Consider the following 14,596-nt stretch of genomic DNA (forward strand, 5'->3'; position numbering starts at 1 on the left):
AAGTCGCTTTACTACTGCATGTATTATATGTTGAGTATTTTGGAGAGGTCAGGAAAGCTTTTTAAAAGTTGTTCAGAGTTGATATCAACTAATTTAGAATACCTTTTTTCTCACGAAAAATAGTGTGTAAAACACTAAATTATTTTCTACTTAGAAAATATTCAGTAGACTAGGTAATATAAAATATATTATTTCTTGAAAGTCAAGTTTTGTGCCATTGTCTTACTAGATTTTATAACAATGATGTTAGGTAATGGTAACTTACTAATTTTTCTGATCGCTCGGGGAATTAATTTACATGTATATGGTTATCGAATTGTATTTGAAATTCCAGATTAAAAAGAACTGCCCAACTTTCCAAAGCTTAGTTATTCCCTTCTTGTAAGGATTTTTTCTCACTGTGGCTTCCACAGTTATGACTGCCTGCACATATGGTTGCTAGGGTTTCTGGTTTTCATCTGAATGTTATGTCAGGAAATGGGCCATGAATGGCATTAAGGGTGCGGCTGAGCTCTAGCTGAGTTCCTTTTCTCAGGGGCTTTTAATCTCAGGTTCTGTAGGGCCTCATTTCAGGCACCTCATTCTCCAGGCCGTACTCTTAGATGCCTAGCTTACAAGGCAAGAGGACTGGCATTTAAGTGACACCTCTTTACAAACATGTTTATTGTTACTGTTTTAGCTTAGATTACTTGGGGAGTTCACTCTGAGATTGTGTGCCAGGGCTTTCTTGTATAGTGCTCCAGGAATAATACTGCTCACAGTGGGGGAGGCAGAACTGGGCAGAAGGGGAAGGTGAACTCCAGCAGAGTCCTGGCAGATCCTAAGGGCAGTGCTGGAGCTGACATTGCCCTTCAGAATTGCCCCAAATTCAGGCAAGATGGCCAAGCCTTTATACTCAAGCCTGGACCATCCCTTGCATGTGGGCCGCCATTCCCTCCCTCTTCAAGGGGTATGTTCTTGGGGGAGGGAACCTGAACTCATGAAGGCAGCAAGGGCCTTGCCAGGAGTGGGACTTGGCAGCCTGCCTGCAGCATCCCCTATAGCCATGCTTTCTGTTCCTCACGTTCATCTGTTTTTAAGAACTGAAAATTAAGTATGCAATGTTCTACTTTCCACAGTTAACTAACAAGACTTCATAATTTAAAACTTAATGCTTAATCTTTAATAAATGCACAAGTATTAAAACTTGTTAGCACCATAAGTAATGTGAAAATGTAACATAGTCGCATCTATAAAATCCATAGTGGTTCAATCTTTTTGACAATTGGTTATGAGTATGCTTTGATTAAAAAGTGTATTATAAATTAACTACTTCAGGAATTTTGAGTTTTGTGAAATATACTTTACTTTTTGATTCATAAAGTGTTTTTGTAACAAGAACTCCCTTGCATCCCCCCTGAAAAAAACAACCACTTCAGGTAGTGGTTTGCTGGTCTTGTTCTTTGTATCTGCGGTTTATTTAAAATGCCATTGTCTTTTGCTTGTTCATTGTAAGGGGGGTTTTTCCCTTGGAGGACAGATGGGCCCTGTCACTTCTTTCCTTTTGACATCTTCATAGTGATTGTTGGGGAAACAGTGTTGGAAAATGGGTTTGGAGAGTAGATCTTGTACTTTGGAGTTAAGATAGGTCTGGGGTTAGGTGCCAGCTCTGTCATCACTTTGCTTGAGTGAAGAGATGCCTGTAAGGAAGCTTTGGCTTCCTCATTAGTTAAATGGAGGTAGTAGTAGAACTTGTATTATAACATCTTAGCATAAGCTCTGGTGTGTTATCAGTGCTCAATAAATGATGGCTGTGATGAGCTGTAATCATATTATTGGTCAGTTCTTCTTTTTCACTGTGTTTTTGAACACTTTAGTGAAGGTAGAGGGCAAGTCAGGCATACAAGCTTATGCGAGGAATGGGGCCGGGGGATCATTTTGGGGTTGTTATCTGTTAAAAAATTGTCCTTGAGGTACTGGGCTTTCTTCTTCACAGGGGATGATTGTGAGCAAAACAGCAACAACAAGCAGAAACATAAATAAGGGAGGAAATGACTACTTCACACGGCCTTAGTTAGGCGCAGGGAGTATAGGGCAGGCTTGTTTTAGGACTGACCTGCCTGAGCATGACGTGGGCCTGGAAGGAATTCTCCCCTCTGTGGTCCTGGATGTCACAAGGTGAGTGGAAGCTGGGACATCTGTAGGTGCTGCAGCCCCTGTTGGTGACAGTGACAGAGGGACCTATGGCAGCTGCCTGTGACAGCCCTGTGACAGACGTCTGGGCAGTGGGACAACAGAAACCATTTGTTCCTAAACACACAGCCCCAGGGCTCCCAAAAAACAATAGGGAATTTTGAGGGAGTGATCTGAGAAGTAGGAGTTAGTCTTTGAGAAGTACTGGTAAACAAGTAAGTGGACTGAGCATATTTTGAAAGAAGTACGAAGAGGGCAGTTCCTAGAGAAAACTTGAACTAGAGAAAGTAGATTTTCATAAGTATAGATTTACTTACTATTATTGTGAAATGTTGGCCTAATCTCATTCAGTTCAAGGTAGTGTTTGTTTCACAACTGCAGGGCTATATCTGTTTATGTTTAATTTTTGAGTAAATCACCTGAAGATATGTTTAAAGGAATTTTGTTTTCCTTGGCCTTCAAAATAAATCTTAAAAAAAATTTATAAAAGACTTCAGTTTTAAATGCAACATAATCCTGTAAATATCTAATTAGTGTGTTCATAGTTCATTAGTGACTCAGTTTTTTAGTGTTAGCAGTACTTGAGCAATATGCAGAATAGCTCAAGAAAAACCCTACTGTCCCAAAGCTTAAATGAATAATTATTAATTTTAACAAACCAGTATGTACTTGAGGATATACAATGGTAGGCATTTTATTTGATGGTTTTCAAAGTATACAAAAAAGGTGCAAAGTACATTCTTATCCTCAAAGAATTTGGAATTAGCTACATAACTGAGCAATTGTGTCCCATAATTTAGGGCCTGGCTGTGGAGCAGGCACTCTACAAGGTAGATGAAAATGGATAGTTTATGTTAAAATGTCTGGGTGGTGGTAGGCTTTTTCTACCTCATAGAACTCAAGACCTATCAAGACAAAAATGATGTGTGCACATTGAGCAGCATCTTGCTTTGGGAAGTAGTATATAATACTACATAATATACAATTGAAGGGCTCTGGGAGGAAGAAAAGGGATGAGATGGCTGAAATTTATAATGGTCAAAGAAGGCTTCAAAGTGGTGGAATCTGGGTGGGGTTTGAGAGGTGAATTGAAACACGGAGAGGGGTATTTTGAGGGGAGGAGTGAGGTTGACACCTATGTGAGTGATAGAATAATTCTTAGTCCAGCCTATAGGGAGTGGAATGTTCATATTTAAGAAGGTTGGAGTTAAATTGTGGAGGTCTTGAAAGCCAGGCAGTGAGGTATGAAGGTTTTTAAACTGTAATAGTGACAATAGTCTAGCTGAAGGCTGATAAAGGTTGAAATTGGAGTGATACTGCTGGGAGATAGACACAAGGTTTTGAGGTGGTAGAGTGGTTAGGACTTGTTATTGGCGGAGAAGATGAGAAATAAAGAGGTATTGATTTGGGGTGGAGAGTTCTGTAAATGTCTATTAGGTCCACTTGGTCCAGAGCTGAGTTTAAGTCCTGAATATCCTTGTTAATTTTCTGTCTCGTTTATCTGTCTAATATTAATAGTGGGGTGTTAAAGTCTCCCACTATTATTGTGTGGAAGTCTAAGTCTCTTTGTAGGTCTCTAAGAACTTGCCTTATGAATCCAGGTGCTCCTGTATTGGGTGCATATATATTTAGGAGTTCGCTCTTCTTGTTGCATTGATCCCTTTACCATTATGTAATGCCTTCTTTGTCTTTTTTGGTCTTTGTTGGTTTAAAGTCTGTTTTACCAGAGACTAGGATGGCAATCCCTGGCTTTTCTTTTGCTTTCCATTTGCTTGGTAAAATATTCCTCCATCCCTTTATTTTGAGCCTGTGTGGGTCTTTGCACGTGAGATGAGTCTCCTGAATACAGCACAGGCAAAGTAGGTTTAGTATAATTCTTAAGGGTCCTATGATTTTTAGAATGGTAAATGAACATTGGATGTAATTTAAAGTCACCAGCCATATTCGCCTTTAACAATAGAGTTCTACCTGTCCTTTGAAGCTTTTTATTTTTTCTTTAAGACAGAGTTTCGCTCTTGTGGCCCAGGCTGGAGTGCAATGGTGCAATCTCGTCTCATTGCAACCTCCGCCTCCTGGGTTCAAGCAATTGTCCTGCCTCAGCCTTCTGAGTAGTTGGGATTACAGGCGCGCACCACTCCACCTCTTGGGTTCAAGTGATTCCCCTGCCCAGACTCCCGATTAGCTGAGATTATAGGCATGCACCACCATGCCTGGCTAATTTTTGTATTTTTAGTAGAGACGGGGTTTCACCATGTTGGCCAGGCTGGTCTTGAACTCCTGACCTCAGGTGATCCACCCGCCTCGGCCTGGGATTACAGGTGTGCTGGGATTACAGGAGTGAGCTACCATGCCCGTCCCTTTGAAGCTTTGAAGCCAGGCATTGACTCCTCTATCTGTGAAAGTCCTAGATGGCATCATCTTCTAGTAGGTATAAGGAGGTTTCCTCCACATTGAAAATCTGTTGTTTAATGTAGCCACCTTCATTAATGATCTTAGCTAGATTTTCATAATTTGCTGCAATGTCTATTAATACATCAGCAGCACTTGCTGTTTCACCTTGTACTTCTCTCTTATGGATACAATGGCTTTCCTGAAACGTCATGGTGCTAGAGTCCAGCTTTTATTCTGCAGCTTCTTCACCTCTCTCAGTCTTCATAGAATTGAAGAGAATTGAAGCCTTGCTCTGGATTAGGATTTGGTTTAAGGAAATGTTGCTGGTTTGATCTTATGTCCAGACATGCCAACATTCTCCATATCAGCAATGTTTTTTGTTTTCTTATCATCATTGTGTTCATTGTTGTAGCACTTTTAATTTCCTTCAGTAACTTTTTCTTTGCATTCCTAAGTTTCAGCTTATCTTAGCTTTCAAAATGCCCTCCTTACTAAGCTAAATCATTTCTAGCTTTTGATTTAAAATGAGAGGCATGGAGCTCTTCTTTTTCTTGAACACTTAGAGGCGAGAGAGAGAGCGAGAGAGAGAGAGAGTGAGAGAGAGCGAGAGAGAGAGAGAGAGAGAGAGAGAGAGAGGATCAGCTAGCCGACGGAGCAGTCAGAACACACACATTTATTATGTTCACGCTCTTATGTGGGCATGGTTTGTGGTGCCCCCAAACAATAGCAGTGGCAACATCAAAGGTCACTGATGACACATCACCATAACAGATATAATAATGAAAAAGATTGAAATGTGAGAATTACCAAAATGTGACACACACATTCAAAGCGAGCACATGCTGTTGGAAAAATGCCACAGATAGGCTTGGTTAGCACTGCATTGCCATAGACCTTCAGTTTGTAAAAATGCAGCATCTTTAAAGCACAACAAAGTGCAATAAAATGAGGTATGTCCATAGTACTATGTTAAACAACAATTAGTAAACACTTGGATGTTATCAGAGCAGCAGGATTTAAAACTTCTTAAAAGCCCCGGGTTTTTTTAAAGGGCTTTTTACCTCCTATCATTTGCTCTCATTCAGGGCATTCTGTTTCAGCTATTGTCTGACAGTGACTTTTACTGATTTTCAAAACTTGTTTAGATAAAGACTATTAGCATATTTTAATAAAGTACAAACATGTTGCTGTTTAACTTTATTACTCATTTTTCATTTTATAACGGAATTAGATGACTTTTTTTGTGGCAGCTGCTACAATTCATGGAGCTAAATTTTTAGGGCAGTTCTTCTGGGAAAGTGGTTTATGTGGAATTTCGGAGCCCCAAGTCTGCCCAATCTATCTTGAGCACATGTTGTCTGTCACAGCCTGTGGACTTCGTAGGCAACATAGCTCTGGGTAAGACCCAGGAGGAATGAAGAGAAGGCAAGGATGAAGCATGGGGAGACCATGCTATAATGAAAATGTGGACTGGCACAGTGGCCTGTGGTGGCCTGTAATCCCAGCACTTTGGGAGGCAGAGGTGGGAGGATCACTTGAGCCCAGGAGTTTGAGACCAGCTTGGGCAACATAGTGAAACCCTCATCTCTACAGTTAAAAAAAAAAAAAAAAAAGTTGCTAGGGAGTCCTGGGAGACATTTAGGTCTTGGGAGTTTGACTGAAGTAGACGTTTGATTGAGGATGCAGTTGCTGGTCCTGAGCACACCAGACTGACCCTAAAGTCAGGAAATGAGGTTTGCTGACATAGCCTTCCTTCCCATTTTCTGCTTTCGTGATTTTTTCATCTTCCCGTTTCCTTCCTCTTCTCCAGGACTTCCATCTTGGAGGAGCAGGAATATGGTTTATCATTTGAGAGTGATATAAGTCAGCAAATACAGAATATCTGTTCTTCTGGTGCTGTATTCCGGGAGAAAGCCATAGACCCTTCCTCTTAGGGAGCTGAGATAGGATAGTAGGGAGGCAGGAAGGTAGAAATACACATGTATTCTGAGTGCCAGGGTGGACACCTGCATGTGAGATTGTTGATACAACAAGAGAGGGAGTGGGAGTTCTCCTGGGCGGGTCTTGAGCTGAGATTTGAAAGAGGAGTGGGTGTTTTGTTGTATCTTATTCCTGTTTAGGACAGGAAGACTAATTTTGTCCTGGTGCCTGGTAGGTAGAACTATGAAGTAATCTTAGAAATGTAAGTGGGTAATGATACTTATTTCAGATGTAAGATAAGTATCCCAGAGTTGAGGCATTAGAGTTCATCTCTAGTGGCGATAACTTTGGGTGTTTTGAGAAGTCAGAGGTCTTCCCTTCTCTTTTATCCTCTTCTTATTCACACTAACTGCCATATGATAGTAGATGTGCCTGAGCACTTGATGTTGCTGAGATCCATGTGTCAGAATCTAGGCTTCATTCTGATAGGTCTTAGCAATATCTGTATGTATTTCTACCCCCGCTACTTACATGGAAAATGCCTTGAGTTCTTCCTGCAGTGCTTTATATGTGGCAGGTGCTCAGCACCTATCTCCTGAATTGAATTAGATTGTTTTAAAGTGATTCTTACTAGCAGCACATCTATTATAAAGGAAAATTTTGGGACAGTAACCCAAATGACTCAACCACCTGGTGATTTGAGTATCCTGCGTTTGCTCGGGCCTGTGATGGTGCAGTAGAGAAAGAGAACATAGGGCCTGATCATCAGGCTGCTGGAGAGTTGAGTTTTGGATATTCCGATGGGTTGCAAAAAGGTACTGTGCTTTCCTGGGTTCTTTCAAATTGTAATCAGCCTTTTATGTGCCTGTCTGACCCTTGATGTTAGGATTGTTTGAACTGATACTTTTTGAACATTTTCTCAAGTTTACTGGATGTGGGGGGCAGCAAGTCAGGCTCACCTCATTGCCTTGTAGCCATCATTTACCCTTGATCTTAGCCAAAAGGCCGAGAAGTGATTTAGCCATCTTTTAATAATGAGCTCCTAAATATGACTCAGTTGCTGCATTCCGTGTTGTTCTGTGAGGTAGATGAGGTCTGACAGTGTATAATGAGCTCCTAAATATGACTCAGTCGATCTGTTCCGTGTTGTTCTGTGAGGTAGACTAGGTCTGACCGTGGTGAAGTGGCTTGTGCAATGTCTCTTAGATGGTGCTTTCCAGTTCTTGTTTAACGTGCGTTCCCCTCTACCGAGGAAGCTGGTTGCTGGAAAACACATGAAAATATATGCACCTTGCTGTTTTGTTGTCTTTTCTTTCTTTCTCTCTCTTCTCATGGCATGCTTTGAAACAGATTAGAGTTGTGTTTGGCTTCAAATTGCTGCAGTTGCCCATCAAAGTAGTGCCGTGGTGTAGGGTTAGCAGGGGTGCTGTTGCAGAGAAGTCAGTGAGTCTAGTGTTCAAATGCAATGTGACTGAGTGCCCCTGAAGCCAGGTGCTCACCTTCTTACAGGCAAGGGCTGTCTGTCAGCCTACACACATAGACTGCAGGTTTGAAAGTGCTATGTGAAGCTTTTGTTTAGCATTCTGACTTGGGCCATTGTGGTATTACCGGAAAAAAAAATCTGAAGGAAAAACATAAAAAAGCTTCGCATACACAAATCTATCATCCGACATCAGGGAGGTTGTGGGGAGTCAGGACCAAGCAGAGGTTCTTAGATATGGTAATTAGAAATCACCCCATTCTTTCGTTCATTCATTATAATGTACTACCCTGTCAGAATCAGCTAGGGAGCTTTTTTCAGGGTATGCTGGGTACTTCATCCCTGAGGGATGTATGTTTCTGCTGTCCTTCATTCTCCCAGGTGCCAGTTATTGCTGGTAATTAGAGGTGTTAGTGATTCTGCCTCTGTAATGGTATGGAAACAGGAAAAAGGCTTAGAAAGTGCTAAGCAAGATTTTTTTTGAGATGGAGTCTTGCTCTGTCACCCAGGCTGGAGTGCAGTGGCGCCATCTCAGCTCACTGCAAGCTCCACCTCCTGGCTTCACGCCATTCTTCTGCGTCAGCCTCCCAAGTAGCTGAGACTACAGGCGCCCGCCACCACACCCGGATAATTTTTTGTATTTTTAGTAGAAATGGGGTTTCACCTTGTTAGCCAGGGTGGTCTCGGTCTCCTGACCTCATGATCTGCCCGCCTCGACCTCCCAAAGTGCTGGGATTACAGGCGTGAGCCACCACACCTGGCCTAACAAGATTATTTTTAAGGGCCCTTCCAGCCCTGCAACTTGTATTTAGAGAACAGAATTGTTCTTTGATCCCCTAGGGCTTTATTGACAGAGTGAGATAATTGATTAAAAGAATAGTAGTATCTTTTGAGCAAGATTTTGGGGTTGTCAAGATGGTACATGGAGGCATATTGCTTCTTGACTGCTGAGTGGGGTAGTGCTCTGATTTTATTGTTCATGGCAAGAACAATGATTTGGCTCTTGGTTGAATTTCTAAAACATTAAAATTAGTCTTTCCTAGTTCCTTTGTTATGTGGAAACATTAAAAACAGAAAAATCTGATGGTGACATTCCAGTTTTATTAGCATTATTACTTATCTTCAGACTGTCCTTTGTCAGACCCTCGGGCAGGGTTTTGGGCTCATTCAGGGAACTTTCAAAGTTATTTGTATAGGAAACATTACATAGCTTTGTCATTATTTAAATACTGTGTAACAAAGCATAGCATTGATAACAGAAGAGAGAAGCATGTAAAATATTTCACAGGGATAAGCATGGAGATGAGTGGGTTCACTTTGAGCAAGATAATGACTAAGGCAGGGAAGGAGAGTGACCTCTGCTTGAAGGCATTTTTGCCCAGTTGTGCTTCACTGGATATTACCACAGTATGGCTTTCAGTTTGAGGATTTAGTTCTACTTGGGAAATATTACATGTCTTCCGTGTACGGGGCTGTGATTGGAAGGAAGTTTTCATCCTTTGATTATTTCTGAAGCTATTAAACTATAGCAATAGTTGGTTAACCATAAGAATTTTATTAATAATTAGTTATGATTTTAAAATGAACTTGATATTTATAGAATTTGAAAAGAAATTGAGACACTGTCTTCCATCTAAAAGAAGAAAAGTAGAACTAATTAAATCATTTGGCTAAGATAGGAATAGCTGCACCTGGGAAATACTTGTAGAAAATAATAGGCCAGTAAGCCTACCTAGGAGGAGAGGAATGAGGAGATTGAATTGGTATGATTCAGATCCTAGGAGTAAACTGAGGATCAGAGTAGGAGTAGAGCCATCTTGCCTTACTTTTTCCTCCTTTCTGCAGATAAGGATAGCTAAATTTTCTGTGAGCATATGGTTGAACTTTAGATTGAGGAGCTTTAACTTTACCAATTTTTCAGAAAAATGAATCTGCATATATAAATATCTCCATATCCTACCTTTTTGTTGGCAGGCATATTCATATTACATGTATGTGTGTGTGTGTATGTATGTGTGTGATGAGGAAGGCTGACCCTCTTGTTTGGAAGGGACATACCCCCACACCCACACCCACACCCACACCCACACCCACACCCCTTTTCTGGGTATATTTGTGATGTAAGCCAGGAATTAAGAACTGGTAAGAAGTGGCCATAAATATACATTGGGTGATAGTCATTTAGTTATGCTAAAATTTTGTCTTCCCATTTCGGTTGGAACAATTTCATTAGCAGTGCCTTAAGCAACAGGATATATGATTGAATTTTCTTTTAGTGAATTGCATAGTTATATTGGATCCAATTAAGTTTTGCATATGTTATCAGTAGCATTAAATGAAACCAAGTGTGGTGTTAAGTAAAATTAGTTAAGTTACTTTAGTAAGAAGTAACTTGTACTAAGTATATATTGAGCTAGTAAGTACAGCAAATAGAGGTCTTCAAAAGTATAGTTTATATGTAAAACATGGAATGATTATTCAAATTTATTGTTAATATCCTCATTAAATTTCCTCATTAAAATGCCTTTACAATTTAGTATTTGTATAGGATATTATGAGATTGTTGTTTTAAAATTTCTTAGCAAGTCCATAGTAAAAATAACTATGGAACTAGAAATGAGTATTTCTGTTCTTTAAGGGTGAAAATTTTTTGCTGTAATCAAGATTTTGAAAGTCACATAATTATGAAATAAATAAAACTTTTTTTAAGGCTGATAATCTTTTGCTTATTAAAGTCTGTTTGAAAATTACGGTGTTCTTAGTAAGATTTGGTGGAAATATAAATGTTGGTGTAATAATTTTGTGTTCTGTTCTGCTTGTCAATAAAAATATTTTAAAATTTAGAAAGAGAGCAACCCAGATTTTCTTAAAAACAAAAGCCAAAATCAACCAACCACAAAACGAAAAACATACAACCAAAACAACCCTAGAGTGCTGGGGTGCTATGAGAGCTGGCACAGAGGGTCTCTAGGCTGTGACTAGCTGTCTTGTTGCTGAGCAGTTTACCTGCCTTGGGCCTTTGTTCCCTAATTTGTAAAATGTGGTTGGCATGATGAGTTGTGACATTGAAATTGGTAATTTATAGGCATATTTTTTTTCTGTTCATTGTCTAAGGAATATGACTCTGTGATTGGCTTTCTAATCTCTACTCAGTTCATCTAAGTGGAGTTTGGTGTTGAATTTCTTTTATGTGACATTATTTAGGAATAGATGTCCTTAGGCTACTAGCTGAAAAATTATAAACCTAAAATTTTTACTTATGTTTAAAATTTTAGGTATGCTATACCTCCGGAGCATGGAAAACGACTTGAAAGACTAGCTCAAGGTAAAACTTGCTTTTTAAATTTGTTTTCTGTGTTTTATATGTTTCTGTGTTTTGTAGGTTCTTTGTTTTTGAGGTACTTTTTACAATATAGACCGTTACTCTGTTGGTTTTATTCTATTCAAGTTATTGACTTTTACATGTTTTTTTAATTGAACAATTTTAAATTTTTTCACCTTAGTTTGTGAATATTATTTTTTCCCTATTGCATAATCGTCATGGTTATTTTAGTTGACTGTTTAGTATTTCATCAAGTGATTGCCCTTAATCTGTTTTGGTAGTTTCTAAAAAAATTGTTTTTAATGTAATGCATTCAACGTCATTGTGCCAATAATTTTTTTTTAAATTAAGTTACATTCTTCCAGACGGTATTGTTGCTGCATCTTGGGGTATGGTTTTTTCATGACTACTTTTTCTGTTGATCTGCTGTTTCCCCCAAGGGTTATGTCACTGCCGACGCCCAGTTCTTCTGTGGCCCACTGGGACTGGAGGTGTGCCCTTAGGGAAGTGTGAAGGTGAATGGCTCTGAGTAACAATACACATGAGATTTTGGGCCTTCTTGGACTGGCAAAATTAAACTTACTTTACTGCAGGTTGCATTTTTATTTTTCATGGCCTGCTGCTTCTTCTTTAGGGCCAGAATAAAGAACTTTTCTGGACCTCTATTGATGATCCTGTGCCTGCTTTTGTGTGTGTAGACAATGCCAATGCAAGCAGCCACCTTCCTCCTTCCTCCTTTTTTTTAAAGATAAGCCAGGCGGCCTTGCCCTCATCTACTTACGTATGGGAAGCAGAGTCACATTCACCCCCTGCCATCCTTATCTTCTGTTTTGCTAGCCACCCTTCCAGAAAGAAGATGTAGGCTGGTAGTGACTTATTTCCAGGGAAAAGTGGAGTTCCATTTGAGTGACAACTGAGGAGCAAGGCCTTCTGCCTTTATCCAGGATTGAGTCCTCAGTGAGCAGTGCTCTTTTAGTCCAGTGCAGATCTAAGTTTCATTGGTGTGTTAGGTTTGCCTTCTATTAGGAAAAGAATTTTGTTCCTGCCTTATATGTGCTTTCAATTAATAATGAAATGGGGACACTGAGAAACCTCATTGCTTGACTTGACAGTTTTTAACAGAAACTGTTAATGGCACCTAAAGGTTACTTTTCCCTAAATTACAGAAGAGTATTAGAAGGAACAGTTATAGTATTACATTTTAAGAAGCATTATTATAATTTTGTCAGGCTAATAACTATAAAGTGTCTTTTTAAAAATGTAATACATAATAGTAATAATAGCGATTGATGTAATTGTAATCTTGAACTTTGTTAGGGACTGTTTTCATGAATAAGTTTTGGATAATAGATTAGAGTAGAGCTTATAAGATGATTACTGTAACACTTAACTACGTAGGAAGTGAACTTTGTGTTAAGACTATATTCTCAACTGTCTTCTTCTCTGTAATAAAATTTTTCCACCATTTTCTATTAATCTTGCTACCAGAGAACTTTTAAAATGAAGCCGATGTAAACCTTACAATATTGAGTCACAGACTAAAATTTCTGATATAAACTTCTAATGCTTTGACGTAAACTGTCTGAAAATGACATTCCAGAAAATGGTTACCGTTTGTTTAATCAGTAAGAGGTTAATGAACTTGAAGGATGAACAAGAACTTGAAATCAGTTGCCTGTTTATTCAAAACTCTTTTGCAGCAATATTTTGAGGAATAAAGCAGGGAAAAGACCCTGCAAGATAGTGAAGGATTTGTATCTGATGACCAGATGCCAGCCAAAATAATTGAATTCTGCTAAATAATTAAAATGATAAAATAATGCAGTGCGAATGATGGAGCATTTTAGAATGTCTAGCTGATAGCAACACTTGATTCATAAAATGAAAAGTAGGCTCAGATATTTTCCATTATCTTGTCTGCGCATCATAATTATCACACTTGCCTTTTATGCATGAATGCTTTCATCTTTGGTTTCTATTGAAATCTTGATTGACTGTGGCACCTACAAATATTTTATCCAAAAGACATTAGGCCTGCATCTAATAAAGCCAGGAGTTTGATTTCGCCCTTCAGCTGCTTTCTTATTTATACAGGTTTTCCCCATATTATATAGACATAAATGTAATAAAAATCTCAAGTGAATTGTTACAATTTTTATACTTGTTATATTCGTCTGTAATGCCATTGCATTCTTTCTAATTTTTGGTTTGATACAATTGGATTGCAAATATGGAGGAGAAGAGAGTTATAATGTTAAATCATGAATGACAGTTTGGAAGATTTTCAGTTTTTAAAATGTCTAAATCTCACCTATTTTAGAAAAAAGATAATATTGCTGTTATATTAAGTTAGGTAAATTGAGAAAGTGTACAGATTTTTGTGAAAAGTAGTATTTCATATTTCATTTGTCCTTTATTGGGAATAAAATGCTATTATTTTAAAAAACTGAAAAGGATTTACTTTGAAAATTTTGGTTACTCGTCCAAAATATGTGATTTAGGACTTTGTGCAGCCAGTTTTGAAAGTGTGAACAATTAGGAGGAAACTTATTTCAAAGGACAGTGTAGTGGAAGTGAGTCAATTCTTTTAGATCCTTATATTTACTTGAAACAAATGTTGGTTTTGTTACCTTATTAAAAAAGCAGTATTTAGCAAAAGGGAATAGAAGAAACATTGCTACCAAGGGTTAGTTTAGTTCATGCTTTTAAGCATTTGTGTGTGTGTGTGTGTGTGTGTGTGTGTGTGTGCGCGTGTGCACGTGCACGCACATTGTGGAATTTTTTTAATGGCTAGTAATCTTGATTTTAATCCTGTGGAGTAAGAGGTCATAGCCCGATTTGCAGAGATCCCTGTGCCAGGGGGTAGATAAAGGTCAATGGGTGGGATGCAGACAGGCATTCAGTGGACTCTTTGAAATTATATTCAAAGTTGGGCATATACGTAGATTTCTGGGAACGCCATCATCAAATCCCCTGAGATCGTTTGGTCCGAAAAGGATTATGAGCCACTGCTGTCAAGAGAATAGAAGAGCAGCAATAAATAAATCATTTTAATTTTATGAACAGATTCTAAATTAACCTGCTCTCATACCTCTCTCTTGGAAATTAGGGAAATGTACTTTTATTAGCTCTCAAAATGGTAAATATTATTCCCTTAAGCATTCACTTAGCTGATAGTCTGAAATATTATATTGAAATGTCTAGTTTTGAAAGGCTTATAAATAAAATACCTCTGATTATAAATAATCAATTTTAAAGTACCCTGTAAGCCATAAAAAATGCAAAAGACCAGTGATATATCCTCTGCCTTC

At 38.7% G+C, this 14,596-nt stretch overlaps 1 protein-coding gene across 21 annotated transcripts in view; it reads left to right on the forward strand.

Annotated features, from left to right (window-relative positions):
- The window catches only part of KDM4C (lysine demethylase 4C), a 454,786-nt gene that overhangs the window by 147,911 nt on the left and 292,279 nt on the right, over positions 1-14,596 (forward strand). For all 21 annotated transcript variants that reach the window (NR_148680.3, NR_148679.3, NR_148677.3 and 18 more), the window contains one exon: positions 11,239-11,288. Coding sequence is in view for 12 of the 21 variants with exons in the window: in NM_001146696.2 (NP_001140168.1) it covers positions 11,239-11,288 (50 nt within the window). In the remaining 9 variants the exon portion in view is untranslated. The remainder of the gene's footprint in view (positions 1-11,238; positions 11,289-14,596) is intronic.

This window comes from Homo sapiens, chromosome 9, assembly GCF_000001405.40.
Source record: "Homo sapiens chromosome 9, GRCh38.p14 Primary Assembly".
NCBI classification, from domain to species: domain Eukaryota; kingdom Metazoa; phylum Chordata; class Mammalia; order Primates; family Hominidae; genus Homo; species Homo sapiens.